The 18,418-nt window shown below is 52.4% G+C and overlaps 2 protein-coding genes across 8 annotated transcripts in view, besides 2 other annotated features; both read right to left on the bottom strand.

The window, feature by feature from the left end:
• The window catches only part of CRHR1 (corticotropin releasing hormone receptor 1), a 51,509-nt gene extending 46,118 nt beyond the window's left edge, over positions 1-5,391 (bottom strand). For all 6 annotated transcript variants that reach the window (NM_001145146.2, NM_004382.5, NM_001145148.2 and 3 more), the window contains exon 1: positions 5,134-5,391. In NM_001145146.2, coding sequence (NP_001138618.1) covers positions 5,134-5,166 — 33 coding nt within the window. In that variant the 5' untranslated portion in view covers positions 5,167-5,391. The remainder of the gene's footprint in view (positions 1-5,133) is intronic.
• Positions 1-18,418, bottom strand: part of LINC02210-CRHR1 (LINC02210-CRHR1 readthrough) — a 215,483-nt gene that overhangs the window by 46,118 nt on the left and 150,947 nt on the right. The window lies entirely within an intron of this gene.
• Positions 4,164-4,664: an enhancer, noted in NCBI's record as "H3K4me1 hESC enhancer chr17:43862413-43862913 (GRCh37/hg19 assembly coordinates)". NCBI's record gives its function as "activates a minimal SCP1, AML or CMV promoter by ChIP-STARR-seq in primed H9 embryonic stem cells {active_cell/tissue: H9 hESC(primed)}" and the evidence as "EXISTENCE:reporter gene assay evidence [ECO:0000049][PMID:30033119]".
• Positions 17,504-18,112: an enhancer, noted in NCBI's record as "OCT4-NANOG-H3K4me1 hESC enhancer chr17:43848965-43849573 (GRCh37/hg19 assembly coordinates)". NCBI's record gives its function as "activates a minimal SCP1, AML or CMV promoter by ChIP-STARR-seq in naive H9 embryonic stem cells {active_cell/tissue: H9 hESC(naive)}" and the evidence as "EXISTENCE:reporter gene assay evidence [ECO:0000049][PMID:30033119]".

The following is an 18,418-nucleotide window of genomic DNA, read 5'->3' as shown; positions in this document are numbered from 1 at the left end:
ACAAGTCCAAAGACAAGCATTTTAAAAGGATGAAGGCTGGGCACTGTGGCTTACGCCTGTAACCCTACACTTTGGGAGGCTGAGGTGGGAGGATCGCTTGAGCCCAGGAGTTTGAGAATTCGAGACCAGCCTGGGCAATACGGCAAGACCGTTTCTACAAAAAAATTTAAAATTAGCTAGGTGTGGTGATGCACACCTATAGTCCCAGCTACTTGGGAGGCTGAGGTGGGAGGATCACTTGAGCCCACAAGGTTGACGCTGCAGTGAGCTGTGTTCACACCACTGCACTCCAGCCTGGGCAACAGAGTGAGACCCTGTCTCCAAAAAAAAAAAAAAAATTCCTAGGGACTCTGCTGACAGGGACCTCCCTGAATTTAGGTAGACAAGAATGATTTGTAGTTAACAAATTCATTGTTTGACTATTAAAACTGCAGCTGAAATCTCGACCTGGCCTTACGTTCAAAATGGGCTCACCCTTCTTTGGTTGATACCGTGAGCAGTTAGGGTAGAATCAGAGCTGGGAGAGATCACCCTACTCCCTCTTTTCACTGAGGAAGAAACGGCCCAGATCACTGTTAGTGACCTGCCCTCCTCCAGACACGGCAAAAGCGCTGGAGTTTCACTGGCTGAGGCTCTACCCTCAAGGGATTCTCCAGATCACTGGGGTGCTGCACTGGTTGTGTGTTGTTTTCTCTTTTTTAATAACCACAGTGGGCTTAAGGGGGAGTTCTAGTCCTTTCTGCATCAGAGATGGCTTTTCTGCTAGGGTGGTTTAAGCATCTCTCAGCCTTCTGTTTCGACCTGACATCTGCATCTGGTGGGAACAGAAACGGGTTCTTTCCAATTGTACAATACCAAATGGAAGAAGCAACAATAAACTCATCCATGAAGTCGACAAACATTTGTTAAACACCTACTCTGTGCAACGGATTGTGAGGCTCAGTGCCGTGAAGGGTAAAAGATGCAAAAAATATATAATATATTGCATGTCCAAGAGCTGCTAGTTGCTGTTCCTGCATTAACTTATATCTGCTGAGAGTAGCCACCTTGCAGCTTTTTCTGAAAGCAGACTGTGCCAGGCACTGTTCCAGGCACTTTCCATGTATTAATTCCTTTTGTCCTTACCTCAACCTCCTGAGTTAGGCATTTCCCCCATTTTATAGCTGGGGACACTGAAGCCCAGAGAGAGTACTTAGGTCCAAGTACCATGTTCCAAGGTCCCTCAGCTTGAGCAGAGCTGGGAAGGGGGAGTGCTGGGAATCCAGTTCGTGGCACCCCCCTCTTTCTATGTGAGGTCATGTCCCTAAGGAGTATTTGAAAACACAGACCTTTCACAGAGACATGAGAGATAACAGAGAATCCAGTCCAATACCCCTGTTTACAGACAGATAAACTGTGGCTCAGAGAGGGAAGGTGACCTACCTGTCATCACACAGCTGATTGGAGGCAGAGCTGGGATCAGAGTCAGGTTCACTGACTCCCAGGCTGATGGTCTTTCCCCTTCAATAGCTGCTGAAATTATCAGCCCGGCACCTAACTGCTTCCTTCTAGGCCACACGGGCACTTGGGGTGGTGGCACCTTGACCCCCAAACTCCTTATGTGTGGCTGAACCTGGAGGTTGATGCTTTTGAGGAGCCAAATGTTAGAGAGGGTGAGAAATGGATTTTCCACTTGAGCTCGTCCTCACTGGCTCTGGGTGAGTGTTCAACTTTTCCATAATCTACACACTCCTCTCTATGGCTGGTCATTTCAAATCCAAGGGGCTTGGCCTGGCTTTTGGCCCCTCCCTGTCTTTGCCCCCAGTCTGTGGCCAGGCCAGCAGTCCCGCACGCCACAGCAGCCCACTGGCCCACCCTGGGCTCACTGTTTCGCGTTCCTCATGCCTCTTGCCAACGCTCCCCTCGAAAACCTGGCTCTATATCGTTTAATCAAAGAAACAACTTGGAAATGGCCCAGATATGCACCGATATAGGGATGGCAAAGTCCATTCACTCACAGGCAACATGCAGACATTGACAGTCTCCTGCAGAGCCTCGGGAGTAACGTGAAACAGACTTGGGCTGTGACACTGAGGAGAGGGCTGCCCAATGGCCACAGCTGTGCCCAGACAGGTGCTTGAGAAGGGGACCTGTGGGGGTTATTTTTTAAATGAATTATACAGTAGCCAGATTAAAAGAGTGAGGTTGCAATCATTTTCCATTCTGGTTTTCAAACTTTGCCTATTGCTGCTAAATTGGCTTATATAAGAATAACAATAGCCAGCTCCCTCCTGGGAGCTCACTCTCCTGTTAGAATCCATCCAGAGGCCTTGCCTTCTGCACCCCTCACAGACACTGGGACCCATGTTTACAGCCACACTCCATCTCCCTACGAGGAGATGCAGTGGGTGTGTGGCTGACTCCGAGGTGCTCAGGCCCCTGCCCCTCCCTGGGGATAGAGACAATGTCTTGTCTGTCTTCTCCTGACTCATGGCCACTTGTACACACATCGTCTCTCCCCACTCACACACACACTTTCACACACCCTGTCTCTCCCCATTCACACACATTTTCCCCCAGGACTCTGTAACTGTTATAGTGTGAGGCCCACAATATAGGCCCCAGAGTGGACCCTTTCCCAACACTGGCTGACTTGTTGGGGATGGAGCTGGATTTGGGATTAACCCTAAATCCCCTAGATTTGTACTCTCATGCTGACAAAACTACCTGAGCTCTCATCTGGCTGAGCTCTAGAGTGAGATTTAGGTGGCTTCGAATATTTTCTGGTAATGGCCGGGCATGGTGGCTCATGCCTGTAATCCTAGCACTTTGGGAGGCCGAGGCTGGCTGATCGCTTGAGCCCAGGAGTTTGAGACCAGCCAGGGCAATATGGGGAAACCCCATCTCTACAAAAAATACAAAGATTAGCTGGGTGTGGTGGTGCATGCCTGTGGTCCCAGCTATTCTGGAGGCTGGGGTGGGAGGATCACCAGAGCCTAGGGAGGTTGAGGCTTCAGTGAGCCATGATCACACCATTACACTCCAACCTGGGCGACAGAGTGGGACCCTGTCTTGAAAAAAAAAAAAAAAAAAAAGGATATTTTCTGGTAAAAGCAAACAAAACAAAGCCTTTTATCAGAGTGTCTGGGTTTGAATTCTGACTTCACTACTCACTGGCTGTGTGACCTTGAACCAGTTACTTAGCCTCTCTGTGTCTCAGGAATAATTCCTACTTCCTAGGGCTGTTAGGAGGACTAAATGACTTAATATTTGCAAAGCAGGTAGAATAATGCCCAGTGAATTGTACATGCTACATAAATAAAAGAAGAAAAGCAACTATTTAATTGTAACCAACGTTTGAAACCAGCATTCGCTGGCCATTCACTCACTGCCCCACATTCATCTGGAATTTATTGAATGCCTACTGAGTTTATTAGGCCAGGCATAAAGGGCAAACACCCCACCATCTAGTAGGAACAAAGGAAATAAAAAGACTTTTTTAAGGAAAACATGATCATTCTAAACAGAGATTTGCACACAATTCTATGAAAGGCCAGAAAAAGAACATTGATCTATTTCCGCGTAAACCTGAAAAAAAAAAAAAGAAAAGAAAACACCCGCAGTTCAGTTCTTTGAATCCATTTAAAAGACTGAATTTGGTCTAACTGGTTTGTGCATTTAGACCAGGCTTCGGTACACGCGAGCCTTTTGGAAACTATTCCCATTCAGTGCCAACTACTCGACCTCTCTGGATGTTTTTCTTCTACCTTCCTCACCTGTCTGTCTCCTCGAACGCCCAGAAAATAATCTGAGTTCATCCCTAGCCCTCAGGTAACGGATGGGGGAGGGGATGTGGGTTCAGTAAGACCAACCCTTGATCATTTTAAGAATCAATTTATAAATATTTGGGGAGGGGCAGGATTAGAGAAAAATCTCAGTAACTTGTAACGTCTCAACTAAGGAAGCAGCAGCTGCTGCATTTAAAAATCTTGGTGGTTTAACTCAAACCACTTGGTAAGCCGGTATACGTACAGTTGGTTTAATAACTGATGGAAAAATGAAATTCCGCCAATCCGCACCCCTCCCCCAAATCCACCGAAGTCTCTTGAATGTAATCGCTCTGAATGCCCTGAGCCGGGTCAAGCTGGTGTCTATGTTTGTGGCTGGAGCGGACCCTGCGGAGTCCCGAGCCCCGGGTGAGGCGATGCCCAGACTGGCGCGAAGCGGGGTGTCCCGGCAGCAGCGCAGAGGCCCACCCGCCTCTCCGGCCGGCTGCAGCGGGCGCGCCTATACCCTGCAAAACCAAAACGCTCTGGAAAGCGCTTGGGGCTGCAAGTGACGCCTGACACGAGCGGCGGGCCGGACTGCCGGCCTCCCGGCCCTTCCCTGGCTCACACAACCCGCGGGCCGCCCCCACCGCCCACGAACTTCAGCGGGCAGACGCTGGACGTGCGGTCTGGCTACTTTCCTAAACTCCAGCGCCCGATCCGCGTCGCAGGGTCGGCCGCGCAGCGCGGGGATCGCGGGTGCCCAGGCTCGGAGAACGAGCGTCGCGCTCCCAGCCGCGGTCGGGGAACAGGAACTGCCGCCAGAGGCACCGTCTCCTCCCCCGAGACTGCGATATTGATCAAGGGCTCGCAGGCGCGGGCGGCATTCATCTCTCCGGACTCGCAGCTCGCCGCGGAGGGGAAGGGGCAGGACGCGCTCCCAAGACTAGGGCGGGGGCGTGCGGAGTCGGGGAGCTGTTTGGGGGCGCTGGGGCGAGGTGGGAACCCCGCTTCAGAGTCTCCAGTCCCGGGGCCGAGGTCTGCAGGAAGGGCGTGGGAGGTGGAACCTCCCCTCCCCTAGGCGTCTGCCCGAGAGCCTAGAGCGATTCTTGGCGCGGAGCCGGCTACCCGGGTGGGCGGACCCCCTCCTCCGCCAACATCCCGGCGGCTTCGCCACGATTTCTTTTCTCACCTGAGTCTCCCCCTGCCTACCCAACCCTGGCTCCAAAGGTCCAGAGAGTTAGGCTGCCCCGGAGCCCAGCCTTCCCCGACCTAAGCACGGCTCTCCCAGCGCCCCCGCCCCCATCACACCCACAGCCCAGCCCCGTCCCGCGTCCGCCAGGGGCCGGGGGCGCCAGCGCTCGAGGGATGGCCGGCGGGCTGTTACCTTGACGAGACGGAGCTGCGGGTGCCCTCCCATCCTCGGGCTCGCTCGGCTACCGTCCTGAATGCCCGGGTCCTACGGACATCCCAGAGGGACCGGCGGGCGGCTGCGGGCTCGGGCGGCACGGGGTGGGCGGCCGGGCTCCTCGGTCGCTGCCTGGTGAGGAGATGCCCGGCTCGGCGCTTCCCGGCCCCGCGGCCCGGCCCGGCCCGGCCCGGCTCTCGCTCGCCCCTTCCCGGGGAAGTCTGGCCGCCGTTTCCCGACGCAGCCCGGCCCGCGGCCGCCTCTTGCCGGCCTCGCCCCCGCCACCTCCCCCACGGTCCGCGCCGCTCCTCGCCTCGGCTCCCCGCCCCCTCGCCCAGCTCGTCCCCTCCCCTTCCTCCCCCTCCCTCTCCCCTCCGCTCCCCTTCGGTCCCTCCTCCGCGCCTCGCCCCTCGGCTCCCTCCCAGCTCCTCCTCGCCTCCTCCGTTCCCTCCCCTTCCCCCGGCCCGCTCTCTGTGTCCCGCCGCCAGGATCCCCTTTCCCTGCGCCCGGGGTTTGCGGCAGTCCTCGGGGCGCGCTGGCAGCAGTGGCGGCCGCCGCAGCCCGGGGAGAAGCCGGGAATGGGGGAAGGGGGCCGCGGTAAAGGATCAGCCTCCCGCCCGGCCGAGGTCGGGGCCTGGGAAGTCCCAGGGATCTGGGGTGACTTGGGCCAGGGTGCTCAGGTGAATTTATGAGGGCGAGGCTATTGGGGGCTAGGGAACAGGGCGGTCCCTACTGAGCGGAGCCGCCGCGGAACCCAGTGAGGCTGCGACCTGCGTTTGGGCAGTTCCCGCCCTGCGGCTGGCTAGGAGGAGCTCCTCGCCGCCCCCATTCCAGCCGCGCCGGGCGCTGGGCCCGACCCCCAGCACCTTTGGCACTGATGTGCCTGGTGCGCGCTGAGACGCGAACGCTCTGCAAGATGAGCCCTTATTCATTCGTTCCTTCTTTCCTTCATTTGTTCATCTTACAAACTGAGTGCCTGGCCACTTTGGTTCAGGCAAGAGGCTGGATCTGGGAACCCTTTGGACCTGGGAGCCCCAGGATGAAAGGGAGACGGCGGTGCCCTGCAGGACAAGCGGGCACTGAACGCTGCCCAGGGGAAAGCCGGGCGCGCATTGCGTTGCAGCGCGGCGAACGCTGCTAGGAGCCCGCGGGCAGGGCGTGGGGAGGACACAGCGCCCCCTCCCGGCCGGCCGAGCCCTCTGGGCAGCGGTGGGCCTCCCCGCCAGACCCCGGGGCCGTCTTCTGAATTGGCTTCGGAGCTCCCCATCCCAGGAAGCAACTCCCAGCCCTTCCAGATGAACAGAACTTTTGACTTCCTCTTCACTCTTCCTCTCTCCTACCAGAGCTGAAAAGGGAGAAACTGGGAGGTAGAGAAATCTTCACTCCACCCGCAGAGCCTAGGCCGCCTGGCCAATGCAGCCCCTATTGGGTACACCAGAGCACCTGGGGCGGCGGGCAGTCGGCTTTGAAATCAAACTGAACCCACCTGCCCTGCACCCTGTGCCCTGCCGTGCCCACCCTACTCCTCCCTCCTGCCCTCTTCTCAGCACACTGGGCAAGAGCCAGCGTGTTCATGGGTCCACTGGCCTTCATTTGGAGCTGGAGTTATTTTAGAAGATCGTAAGATCCAACACACACAGTTTACTGGTGAGAAAATGGAGGCACACAGAGGGTAAGCCTAGTCCTCCTTCACCTCATTCCCAGCTCACAGTGCCTGGAGGGCTGGGCCCTAAAGGGGCCTGGGACACTGAAGTGGGGAGGGGCATTGCCCAGGAAGCCAGCTGCTCACATGGCTTATCCACACACCTGGCACTTTCCAGGTGAAGCACACAGTCCCGAGTCTTGCAAAACCCCCATTAGGTTAGTGCTCCGGAGCTGGCTGTGCCGAGTTGGGCCCTGACTTGCCCCAGCCAACCCCAGAAGGGATGGACATGCTAAGCAGATGGACAACTAACTGTTACCAACAACAGTTAAGTGCGGGGCAGTCTGATGTGCAGGTTCTGGAGTCAGATGGCCTGAGTTTGAATCTTGGCTTTTCCACTTACAAGCTGTATAAACTTGGAGAGTTATTTAACAATGCCTCAATTTTCTCATCTATAAAATCGGGGTAGAAACGCTACTTCTGAGGGTGGTTGGGGAGTTTGAAGGAGTTGGTATTTGTAAAGAGCTTGGAACGGAGCCTGGCACATAGTGAGAGCTTAATGAGGGTTAGCTGTAGTCACCAATACTATGATCATCATCATCATCACGATGGAGTGGACTGGATGCTCAAGTGTGAGGGGTGGCTTGGTCCCACCCTCTAGGCAGTTCTTTGTGGGGAGCAGAATTCTTGATCAGAAATTCACCAGCAGCAGTAGGCTGTGGAATCAGAGGAGAGGAAGCCGGTTGGTCCTCTGGTAGCTTTGCCCAGGCCCAGCCAAGGCCTTGCTCCCTCCCTGGTCCCACCTTGGAGCACACTCTCTAAGGACTAGACGGCTCCAGCTTCTGTGTTTCTCTCTGCTTAATAAACACCATCAAATTTTGCCTCTCTGAGCCCCATTATCCTCCCCTTGACATGATCTTTAAATATGCTAATGCCATTGATTGGACTGCAATCAAGTCTTGCTCTTCCTGACTTTTTTGCCCAGGAGTCAGACCTTCTCGCTTTCTGAAGTGGCGTCTACAGATAGCTCATTTCATCCTGTCTGTGTTGATTTCACTGACTTAACCTCCACCCCACCACATCCCGCTGACGGACAGGTCAGGGGAGGAGGCTTCTGCCTAATTCCTCGACCTACTTATTTATAGTTTTGGCCTTGGCAGCCTCAGGGGGGTTATGAAAGTTTGGCGTTTAACATTCCTTCTGTAAAAAGGTTCAATATCCCCTTTCATTTGTCCTGAAACTACTTCCTTTCACCTTCAAGGGCCTGGCTCTCATCTGCTGGGCTTGGTGAAGGTGCTAGTGTCTGCCCTGTCCCTCCCTCCTACACCCTTCCTTCCCTCAGCCCCAGCCAGAGCAGCCTCTGCACACCCTCCTCAGGATAGGCTCCTACTCCATTCCAGCATTCTTTTCCCAGGATGGCCTTTTCCAAACTCTCTTCTCATCCCATCCCTCCCTTGCCTTCTCACCCCTTCCTGTCCAGCCAGCAGCAGAATCAGCTTTCATTCATTTAATCTGCCAGATTTGGAAGACAGGAGAAATGTGAGGATTCCAAACAGGAATAAAAGACAATCACATGTCCTTCCCAACAGTAGGAGAGACAGATTTGATGTAATGATGGGTGAGACCCAGGGAGGCAGGGCTGAATAGGCACTTCCTACCTGTGGGGTTCCACTGGCTTAACCATCCCCGGGAGGTTGCTGGTCTGGAACCATACTTCTCAGACAACTGTGGCAAAGAACTGGTTCTGTATTTTAAAATTTCTAATCTGTCACAGGCCAATGCGATTGCAAAACACTGCGGGAATGAATTATTAGAAAAATGCAATAAAAGGCCAGATGTGGTGGCTCATTGCCTGTAATCCCAGTACTTTGGGAGGCCAAGGCAGGTGGATCACTTGAGGTCAGGAGTTTGAGACTAGCCTGGCCAACATGGTGAAACCCTATCCCTACTAAAAGTACAAAAATTAGCCGGGCATAGTGGCACGAGCCTGTAATCCCAGCTACTTGGGAGGCTGAGGCAGGAGAATCGCTGGAACCTGGGAGGAGGAGGTTGCAGTGAACCCAGATCCTGCCACAGCACTCCAGCCTGGGCAACAGAGTGAGACTCAGTCAAAAAAAAAAAGAAAAAAAGAAAGAAAGAAAGAAAGAAAAAAAGACAAAATGAAAGCCCTGTTTTAAACACTAGCACATCAAATGGACATAAAACTATTCTGTCTAATGGCTTAAAAATGTCAAAATGTAGCTAGGTGCAGTGGCTCACACCTGTAATCCCAGCACTTTGGGAGGCTGAGAAGGGTGGATCACCTGAAGTCAGGAGTTTGAAACCAGCCACCGCACCCGGCCCAACCTCACCAGACTCCCCTCACGCGGTTGCCTCCTGTGTGCCTCTGCCTTGGAATGCCCCTCCCCATTATGCCTTCTTCAAGGCTCAGAACAAACATCACCTCCTGCATAGAGCTTTCCAGAACCCGAGAAGTTAGCATGAATGTTTCTGTTGAGTCCCTTGACTCTCTGCCAGTGATGTGGCTGAGGCGTGAGCTGTGGATCAAAGTGCTTGGGTCACCACCTCTGCCCTACCACTGCTCTCTAGGACCTTGGGGAGTTGCTTAACTTCAATAAGCCTCAGTTCCCCCTGAAAAATAGGATGATAGCAATAGTTGTGGAGATTAAATATGAGCCATGGGTCGGGTGCCATGGCTCACGCCTATAATCCCAGCACTTTGGGAGGCCCAGGCAGGCAGATCACCTGAGGTTGGGAGTTCGAGACCAGCCTGACCAACATGGAGAAACCCCATCTCTACTAAAAATATAAAATTAGCTGGGCATGGTGGCGCATGCCTGTAATCCCAGCTACTTGGGAGGCTGAGGCAGGAGAATCGCTTGAACCCAGGAGGCGTAGGTTGTAGTGCGCTGAGATCACGCCATTGCACACCAGCCTGGGTGACAAGAGCAAAACTCTCACTCCAAAAAAAAAAAAAAAAAAAAAAAAGTCTAAATGCTTATGCTCAATTTCTGCACTTACCAGGTCATAAACTGGCAACACAGTTTGCAGACAGGTGCCGGTCTGTAGATCATGCTTGGAGTAGCACTGGTCTGGAATGTTTGTGAAGCATGAGGCTAGGAAAGTGGCCTCTTTAAAATCCCATGAACATTGGGGGATATTGTATTAATTACTCCATTCATCTGTGCATTCATTCAACAAACATTTAATGAGGAGCAACTAGGTACCAGTCACTGTTGGACACTGAGGCTAATAAAGATAAATATAACAGGGTCCTGGCCCTCAAGATGTTCACAGGCTGGAATGGGAAGCAGCCACTTTGATAAATAATTAAGAGCTAGTGAAATTAGGTCAACAATAGACCAGGCACTGCGGGTGTGGAGGCAGGAATATTAATTCTGCCTGAGACCAATGGGGAAGACTCTACCAAGGAGGTGATGCTTGTGCTGGGGTTTGGAGGCAGAGGCAGGTGTTTAATCCCATGTGGCCAACCGGCATTTGATAGAGGAATTAAAATACGTAAAGTGCTTAGCGCAGTGCCTAGCACATAGTAAATGCTTCAAATGTTTGCTATTTTTATTATTCAATATTATGAATGATCGTCATTGTCATTGTTACTATTCACCTAGATCTGCCTGGCAGTGTGCTTAGTTTGGCATGGGGTTGTGGAGGTCACAATAGGTAATTCAGTTGGGGAAAGAGGTGATCTGGCTTTGAGCTCACCCCCTTTGTCAGAGGAAAGATTTTTCTGGAAGAGGTGGGTTGGGAGCTGGGTATTGAAGGAAGTGGGTATGGACATGTGAGAGAGGGAGACTTTCAAGGCGGGAGGGTCGCTTAGAGACAGAGCCCAAGGAACAAGTATAGGGCAGGGGAGGGGGCTGGTCTGATGGGAACAGGAGATGGGATGACGCTGGGGGGCTGCAGGGGAGGGGGCTGGTCGGCTGGGAACAGGAGATGGGATGAGGCTGGGGGGTTGCAGGGGAGGGGCTGTGGGTTTTCCAGGCCTTTGGATAAGGGGTGTGATGTTCTTCATTCTCTCACTTAGAACAACAGATAATAATAATAATTAAGATTTGTCTTGCAATTTGCACTATGTAGTTCCTTCACAAACATTTTCCCATTTAATTCTTTTAATAACTCCATGAAGGAGGTATTAACAGCCTCACTTTACCGATGAGAAGGCTGAGTTCAGAGGTCAGTACCTCTGAGCCCAAGGTCACACAGCTGGCTTCCGCACAGACAGGATCGGAACCTCACGTCCCCAACTCCCACTCCAGATATTTTCCAGTGTACCATGGAGAGGTGACCTGAGCCTAGCCCTCTGGTGAGCTGGGGTATCACCTATAGGAGGCTCCAGCTCCAGGAAAATGATGCTCTGGGGTTAGTCTTCCCTTTTTGCTTTCCCCAGTGGATGGGCTAAAGGGGGGAGTGGAGACAAGCCATGGGACAGAGGTTGGCAGTGACAACAGGTGAGGGCCACAGAGGGCTCCTCCTCCTCCCTCCAAGTCTGACTCTGTACCACTCAAGGGCAAGAGAACTTACCCTGGGCACAATTACCATATTTTGCATTTATTAAGTGTGGCCAAGAGGGCCATTGAAGTTTGTTGCTTTTTTTTTTTTTTTTTAAGAACACTTTTTGGCTGGGTGTAGTGACTTATACCTGTAATCCCAGCACTTTGGGCGGCCAAGGCGGGCGGATCATGAGGTCAAGAGATTGAGACCATCCTGGCTAACATGGTGAAACCCCGTCTCTACTAAAAATACAAAAAATTAGCTGGGTGTGGTGGCGGGCGCCTGTAGTCCCAGCTACTTGGGAGGTTGAGGCAGGAGAATGGCGTGAACCCAGGAGGCGGAGGCTGCAGTGAGCTGAGATTGTGCCACTGCACTCCAGCCTGGGTGACAGAGCAAGACTCTGTCTCAAAAAACAAACAAACGAGAAAACAAAAAAACACTTTTTAAAGGTGAGGTTTGAAATAAGAAGAGTTGGGCGAATGAGAAGGCGTCTTGGAAGTGAAAACACATCATAGATGTCAGCCAGAAGATCAGCGTGGACAGGACCTGCACACATCCACTTATCTTTACAGAGAAGTTGCGTCCCTCCAGCCCAGACCAGTGGCTCTCTCCCGGGGGGACGTTTCACAATATCCAAAGACATTTTGGGTTGTCATAGCTGAAGGAGTGCTACTGGCATTTGGTGGGTAGAGGCTGTGGTCCAGCTAAACATCCTGCAGTGCACAAGACAGCCCTCACAACACAGAATTATCTGGCCCAAAATACCCATGTGCTGAGGTTGAGGAATCCTGGCCTTGTCAACAGTGTGGCACCATGGACAGCAGAAATGCGGCTCCTCCGTGAGGTTGTGATCCAGACCCATCCTGTCTGAAGAGGCTAGGGTCCACCACTCTGCATTTCCTGAACTCCATCATTTCTGGAGCACTGGGGCCATGGGAAGGCACTGGGGTGATAGCCATGGTGGAGCATCAGCTGGTAGTCAGGCAAGCCAGGACTTGAGACTCTGGGCTTTCAGTGTGGATGTTCCTCACCCTGCCCTCCCCTCATCTCTACTATAGGTATAGGTTGTCCCTTTTTTCCCTCTTCATAAAATCCCACTTTAGAGCTAGAAAGCGCTTTGGTAGAAACCAGCTGCTCTAATAGATGAGGTACTATTTTTCCATTTTACAGATAGGTATATTGAAATCTAGAGGTTAAATACACAAGGTATGTGCTTAGCTGATTCCAAGTGCGTCAAGCTCCCAGAGGGCAGAGACTGCTTTCCAGTCGTCACTGCAGTCCCAGCCTCTGGCAAAGTCATATCTCAGCAGATGCCAAACGAAATGTTTTTGGTTAATGGTCATTTTTACCAGCGGCTTAGGCCCCAGGCTCCTGCCTCCAGGGCAGCGCACTCTCTGAGCACCATCCTCTTCTGAGTCCTGCTCACTATAGTGAGGCACCCCCCTTTTCTGGGGTTCAAGGCCACCCAGTCCTGGATGGGAACAGCCCCACACCCAACCCCGGTCAGGCAGCTACAGCCTCCTGGTGGGAAGACGCAGCGGCAGCCTCACCCAGCCCTTCACTCCTTCCCTCCTCTCCTTTTCCCTCTGGCCTTACAAAGGGGTCAGGGCAGGACAAATCTCCCCTCCAGGCTCTTGGGAGTGTCTTCACTGCCCCCGAGGAAGCCCATGCAAATGGCCACCCTGACCTTCAGTGGCCACTTCTAACTCCCAGAGCAAGACAAAGAGAGACCAAAGAGACATATCAACCAGCCGCAATATGTTATGTGGACATTTGGACTCTGACTCTTTTAACAGATTTTAAAAAACAACCAAAAACCTATAAACAGACAATTGGAAATATGAACCCTGCTTAGATATTTGATGATTTCAGGAATGGTTGTTAATTTTTAAAGGTGTAATGATGACATTGTGGTTATATATTTAAAATGAGTCATTATCTTTTAGAGATACAGACTGAAATATTTATAGATGAAATGACATGATGTCCAGAATTTGCTGAATACTATGGGAAAGGAGGAAGCAGGTGAGGATATTGATGAAATAAGATTGGCTGTGAGTTGTTAATTGTGGAATCCAAGTGATGGGTACATGGGGAGTTTATAACATTTTGCCTATTTTTATATGCATTTAAAAATCTTACAGCCTGTGGGAGCTGCCTGGGACCACTCAGGGAGCACGCAGACCATGGTGTCCAAACCGTTTTCTGTGGAACCCAAGATTCCAAAAAGATGCCTTAGGACTGGTGCTGAAGGTTGGGTGCAGGGAGGGGGTGGTGAAGGGGAGCCCAGGGAGGGGGCTGTGGGGTGCACTTCTGTTTCAACCAGTTTTATATAGTGGGGTTCTATAGGAGATCTCAATTTGGGAGAAAGGTTCTGCTCAGAAGAGGAAGCAATTTTCCAAAGACCATGTGTGTGGGGGCAGCGCAGAGCCGAGCCCGGGCTCCCAGCTCTCAGCCTCCCTGGCTCTGTACCACATTGCCTTCCCAGGGCATGGCTGCTGCCCCAGGGCCCCTGCCAGACTCAGTGGACCTGAAGTCTAAGTCTGGTGAGCCACAGCAGGATGGGGCTGGGCCACCTGGGGCTCTGCCCTAGGTGGCTGAGGGCATCTGCCTCCCTTGGGCCACCCGTTGCTCAATTTTCACAGCCAGGCCTGTGGCTCAGAGCCAGCTTTGGCATTGCTGCCTGCCATCTGGCCAGGCCCCAGTGGCTCAGCTGGATGGGGGCCAGCACCTTCCAGGCATGCCTGAGCCAGGGAAGTGCTGACCAGGGATCAGCCCACTGGCTACACAGCAGCAGCTCATTCCAGAAGAGGAAGGCCTCATGCCCACCCCTTCCCGAGTCCCTCCTTCATGAGAGGACTGGTCTGAGCCTGGCTAGATGGTTCTGTTCCCCTGGGGTTGGGGCAAGGGGGTGATAATGGCTTAGGTTATGGTTCCCACCTGCAGACCAGCTGCAGGAGGAGCACAGAGGGCTCCTAAGTCATGTGGCGAGGAGGGGAGGGAAAGGAGGTGTTACCTGGGAGACGAGGATTCATCAGCTGCATACAGCCTGGTAGAACTCGTGAGGACAGGAGGGAGGATGGGCGTCAGTCCATGGTGAAGGAAGTAGGTGGCTATGCTGGGGATCTCCCATTCCCCTCCACATCCACCCTTCACCCTCCCTGTCTGCTCTGTGCTCAGGGCTGTCTAAGGTCTCCGTCACCTTCCCACTCTGGCTGGGCTCAGCCAATAGGAAGCCCAGGCTGGAGCAAGGAGGGTGAGGTTGGGTACTTATCCCTCCAACTCTCTCCCTGTGGGTTGGCCATGGGCTGGCTGTGTCCCTTGACTGAGGTCCTTGCGGCTCCCGTGGCAGCCTCTCTCCATGGCTCTTCTACCGGGTGTGGTAACCCCTCCCTCCCCTTTTTCTTTTGGACCTAACAATGGTCACAGCTGAGTTCCCACTGGCCTCAAGATGTTGCATGTCCCCTTGAGGTCTCCCCACCTTGTGCACATATTTGTAAATAGTCCCCGTAACAAGACCTTCTCAAATTATCCAGATACTAGTGGGCTTGGGCCATCGCTTCCCGCTAAGACCTTGGCGACTGCAGGCTGCTTGGGAGCTGAGTTTGCAAATGCTAGTGCATGATGAGGCTTTCCTTGCCTGTGATTCCAGCAAACTGGAGGGATGGGGAGGCCACCCCAGGGGGCCTGATGGGACAGTCCCAAGGCAAGGGGGTGAAGGTAGGATGGGAGTCACCCCAAATAAATTAGCAGAGATCCCCGTGGAGGAAATGCAGGTGGAGGACTTATTGATAGGGGTGTCACAGAGGAGACCTGGGAGTCTCCCCTCACGGGAAGGATGCTGTTATGGGGTGAAAGAGGCAGGAGGCAGAGAGGCTCAAGGAAGAAAAGCAGTGAAGGTGAAGCTCTGGCCATGCCTCTCCAGCTGTGCCAACTATACAGAGGGGGAGTGGTGTGGTGCAGACTCCAGAGGTGCGTCCATGCAGGCTGCAGAAGGAACATGTTCTCTGGAGTTTAACAGCACTGGGGGCCCTGAGCCTCTGGCTGCTGTATTCCTACGGTGACTCTCCCTGGCTGGAACAGAACCTCTGTCCACCCCTCCTTCCCAGCCTTGCTCCGGGTCCTCCTGCTGGGAGTCAGAGTGAATCCTGTGCACTCCCAAGCCCCCTGCTCTGGGGCTTTTCCTCAAGCTCTGCCTGGAGTACCCTTCCTTCCTTCTCTTCTGGATTGTCACACACTCCAGGCCCCCCACTCTCATGCATCAGCTCCCACCTTTTTTAGGGTTGTATCCCCAAATCTGCCTGCCAGACCTGACCCAGCCATCCCCTTGCTGTGTGGCCTTGGGCACATCATGTCTTCTGGATCTCGGTTTCCTGGTCTGTGAAATAGCAGTGGTGCTGAGAGGTAATTAGGGGACCTCTCCTGTCCCTTTCAGACTTGGATGAATCCACGGACCTAAGTCCTTTGTCCTACTAATAAAAGATGAAAGACGCATGCTTCTCTCATTCATCTTTGTGTTCTCCACAGCACCCTGTAGAGGGCCCCACCAGAAGGACTGGTGGATGGTAAATCTTTCTAGAGTGACCAGGGGCCATTCATTCCTTGGCCCTAATGTGTCCAGAGTTTTTTCCTTCCAGTGGGTTTGTGGTGCCGCTGACTTCAAGAATGAAGCTGTGGACCTTCGCGGTGAGTGTTACAGCTCTTAACGGTGGCACAGACCCAAAAATAGTGAGCAGCAGCAAGATTTATCATGAAGAGCGGAAGAGTGAAAGAAGGAAGCTTCCACAGCGTGGAAGGAGACCTGAGCTGGTTGCCACTACTGGCTGGTTGGGTGGGGGGGATGGGGGGCAGGGGGGAGGTGACCAGCTTTTATTCCCTTATTTGTCCCCACCCATGTCCTGCTGATTGGTCCATTTTACAGAATGCTGATTGGTCCATTTTACAAACCTCTAGCTAGCTACATAGCACTGATTGGTGCATTTTTACAGAGCACGGATTGGTGCATTTTACAAACCTCTAGCTAGCTACAGAGCACCGATTGGTGCATTTTTACAGAGCACTGATTGGTGCATTTTACAAACCTCTTATAAGACAGAAAAGTTCTCCAAGTCCTCACTAGAATTGGGAAGTCCAGCTGGCTTCACCTCTCACTAAGTTGATAAAAATATCCCCTGGGAACCTGACATCATTTCTTCCCATTTCCTGGCAAATCCAGCATGTTCTCATTTATAACCTGGTCTCCTGAGTAGGCTGCCCCTGAGAGGTACATCCAGGACTAGCAATAATAGTTATCCTTTAAACGAGAGACTGCCCCACAGTTACCTCTGGGGTGGGAGCCTGGAAGGAATAAAAGGTGTTCATTTTATTCCCTTTGGATTTTTTTTATACCACACGTTATTATTGTAATATGAAAGAGTCTTTTTAGAAAAAAAGTTATACACAAAGACTGATAATTTGGGTTGCTTCCAAAGAGGGGAACTGGGTAGCTAATGATTGAGGCAGGGTGAGGACCAGGGAGGAGACTCACTGGTCAACTTATGTCCTTTGGTACCTTTGGAATTTGTACCATGCACATTCATCATCTACCAAGAAAATAAATGTAGGCTGGGCGTGGTGGCTCATGCCTGTAGTCCCAGCACTTTGGGAAGCTGAGGCGGGCAGATCACTTGAACACAGGAGTTTCAGACCAGCCTGGGCAATATGGTAAGACTCTGTCTTAAAAAAAAAAAAAGTATCCAGTCATGGGGGTGCACATCTGTGGTCCCAGCTACTTGGGAGGCTGAGGTCAGAGGATTGCTTGAGCCTGAGAGATCAAGGCTGCAGTGAGCCAAGATCATGCCACTGCACTCCAGCCTGGGTGACGGAGTGAGACTCTGTCTCAAAATGGTAAATAAATAAAAATAAATAAATAAATAAATGCAAATTTATGAACTCACCAGCTTGTGTATAGTCCTTCTATAGAGATGAAGCACTTTGACACATAATAGCTCACTTTATCCTCCTCATGCCCCTAGGTAAGTCCTATGATTAACCCTATTTTCAGATGAGGAAACTGAAGCTCATAGAAGATGAAAGGTTTGCCCAGAGTTTCCTAGTTGGTGTGATGTGGCATGGAGGCTCACACTCTGGATTTCTGATCCTGAAGCAGGCTGCTGATAAGGTTTAGCTTGTCAAATATATTTCCATTAAAAAAAAATGAATTGACATTTTGATGTACGACTCAGTCTTTGGAAGGTGTGTTTATTGTGAGTCGAATTCCCATTAAAGGCGACTGAAACAACAGAGCTCCCCATGCTGCAAAGCTGAGGCCCAGACACGGGGCTGAGGAGGCCCCACCAAACCACATATATGAGAGGCCTCCTCAGCCACCCGTCCCATCTCAACTCCTCACCTGGACTCCAGACTCCTCAACTTCTTTGGAAATTTTGCCTTAAACCTCACCCCCTCTAGGAAGCCTTCACCAGTGCCTCCTGTGGGCCTCTCCCTTGCTCAAAGCAAGGTCTAAAGCCCGTTTTCTCTGCTACATTCTCAACAGTCTTGTTCACAGCTACACTCCTGCACACCTCACACTGGGCCCGGCACACAGCAGGAGCTTAATGGATACTCACCAAATGAATGAGTAAACCAATGGCCAGGACTCTGCTCCTGCCAGGCTACCCTGCTTGTCTCCTTTCTCTGTGATCTGTGCCAATCACACCCCTCATTGGGAAGCAGAGGGGCGGCCACAGGGGATGGCTTAGCACCCCCAGCCCCTGAGGAGTCCGTGCCTGCCAGCTCCATCCGAGGATGGGTGTGGGGAACCAGCTGCCCGTCTCATTAACAGATGAGTGTCCTGAGCTCTGATGGGTGGAAGGGGGGAGTGTCGCAGGAAGGAGGGGGCTGTAGAGGCCTCAAGTGGCTCCTTGGCCATCTCTGAGCAGCGCAGACTCTGATATTAAGCAGAGCTGTGTGGAAATTACTCATTTCTGCATCTCCGCCGCCCCTCATTTCTCTGTGCTCATCAGCACATTGCCTCGCCAACCTCCCCTGCCACTTCTCAGAGGAAGACAGGAGGAGCTGGGGGGAGACTGAGTTCCATCCTCTTTGGAGCTTGTTCAGATTTTCAATGAG

Source organism: Homo sapiens, chromosome 17 (assembly GCF_000001405.40).
Source record: "Homo sapiens chromosome 17, GRCh38.p14 Primary Assembly".
In the NCBI taxonomy this organism is placed as follows: Eukaryota; Metazoa; Chordata; class Mammalia; order Primates; family Hominidae; genus Homo; species Homo sapiens.
The sequence above is the reverse complement of the archived record's forward strand: the minus strand, read 5'-3'. Positions and strand labels throughout refer to the sequence as shown.